Source organism: Homo sapiens, chromosome 3 (genome assembly GCF_000001405.40).
Source record: "Homo sapiens chromosome 3, GRCh38.p14 Primary Assembly".
NCBI lineage: Eukaryota > Metazoa > Chordata > Mammalia > Primates > Hominidae > Homo > Homo sapiens.
This window is the reverse complement of record NC_000003.12, coordinates 156,007,125-156,009,124: the sequence shown is the minus strand read 5'-3', so window position 1 is coordinate 156,009,124 and position 2,000 is coordinate 156,007,125. Positions and strand designations below refer to the sequence as shown.

Here is a 2,000-nt window from a genome sequence, read left to right as displayed (position 1 = left end):
AATACTGTCTTCAGATAAAGAGTCAATGTAATTCAGATTTATACTCTTCATAACAGTGGTTTCTCTCCTCTTAAGGAACTTCCCCGTCCAATTCTCCCTTCCTCTGAGTCCCATGGAAAGCTTACTACAATGTGGGGAAGAGCCTCTGGTCCATGTGCCACATTCTGTGTCCTTGCCGGCCTCAATTCGTTTGGTCATTGTCACAGCTACCATGTTGATAGACATTGACAAGATTGTAGATATCTAGACTATACTTTCAGGGATCATTTCTACAGTTTGTTACTAGAGAAGTTTCTCTGAATGTATAGAGCACCGAAGACAAGCATCCCCTCTCTCGCCACTCCTATCCACTCATAAGTGAGAGTTGAACAATGAGAACACATGGACACAAGGAGGGGAACATCCCACACCAGGGCCTGTCAGGGGGTAGGGGGCTGGGGAAGGGATAGCATTAGGAGAAATACCTAATGTAAATGACGAGTTGATGGGTGCAGCAAACCAACATGGCACATGTATACCTATGTAACAAACCACATGTTGTGCACACATACCCCAGAACTTACAGTATAATAATAATAAATTAAAATTAAAATAATTTACTTTTATAAAATTAAAATAATTTACCTTCATAAAAAAGTAAAATAATAGAAACCCCCCCCCAAAAAAAAGATTGTAGATCTCTAGTCATGACTTCACGTACAAGGCCCCTTCACTCTGTGACCTCCTTTTTCCATGACTGCAGGCTTCTTCTAGCCTACCAGTCCTCTCAGTTTCCATGTTCCTTTCTAATCACACACAGCCTGCAAGTACCTGTGAGTCTCCACTGCACCATGGTTCAGGCCATGGGGAATAGGGGAACTAGTTTAGGCCCATCTACGGAAACACCTCTCTCCAACATCACTTCTGAACCGAGCCCATAGGATGGCACCATGTTCAATAAGGTGCCACAAAAAACCTATGGCTTCCCTCAACTTGTTGCAATCTCTCCAGCGTGGAGAGTCTCTGACAGCCCCAAACCTGTTTGGATGTTTAACCACACTTGCCACATGCTCAACCCTAAGGACATGGAGAACTAGGAAATTCTTACCTGGCCCTCCTCCCTTTCTCAACTTCCCCCCTTTTCCCAGCACCAGGACTTTCTGTTTACTTTCCCTTTCCTTCTGTAAGCAACTTTCCTATGTAATAGCCTCTTTCTTACCAACTCCATGAGTGTCTTTGCTCCATGTAGATATCTTTTCCCTTCCTTAGCACTAAAGCCTTCATAATCTGGCCCTTATGCTAGAAGGACTACAGAAGTTTTCTTGTTTTTAATTACCAAGGGGCAAATATATTAGTAATTATTTCAAGAATATCAGTTTCTAATAATAGCAGTAATTAAGTGTTAGGCTCTCTCTCTAGGGTTTGAAGCATGGCTCTACCACTCACTAACTGTCCAGCCTTAGATATGTCACTTAACTATTGTACACTTGAGTATCCTCTTATGTGAAAAAAAATAGATAACAGTGAGCTTGTTATGATGCTTAAATAAGATAAAGCAGGTGTAGCACTCAACATAGTTGCTAGTATACAATGAAGTGCCTAGCTAACATTAGAAATTAGTGGTGTTTCTTTGTCCCTTAGCTACTAAGGTAGTCATTCATTTAAATTATTAAATTTCATGTGCAAAAAAAGAGCACTAAACAAAGAAAGGATGCCTATTATTTTATTTTGTTACAAAACCACAAAATTCTGCCTCCAGCTTTTTAGATCCCCTTGCAGAAGATCATTGCTGAGATGCCTAACACTGGATGGCAATGTTGCACTGGGCAGGCTTCATTAAGACCCTGGAGAGTGGATTCTTCCTTTCTGAAAAAGGGCATAGTTAAATCAACTTAATCAAATGTTAGGAGAAAATTTAGGGTCTGTCACATACACACATATACACAATCTCTCCCTTTTTTTTTTTTTTTTGAAATCGAATCTCACTCTGTCGCTCAGGCTGAAGTGCAGTGGCACAATCT

The 2,000-nt window shown here is 40.7% G+C and overlaps 1 pseudogene; it reads left to right on the top strand.

Annotated features, from left to right (window-relative positions):
- The first annotated feature begins 244 nt into the window (after nt 1-244).
- On the top strand, nt 245-324 carry LOC124906383 (uncharacterized; annotated as a pseudogene).
- Nucleotides 325-2,000: the final 1,676 nt, after the last annotated feature.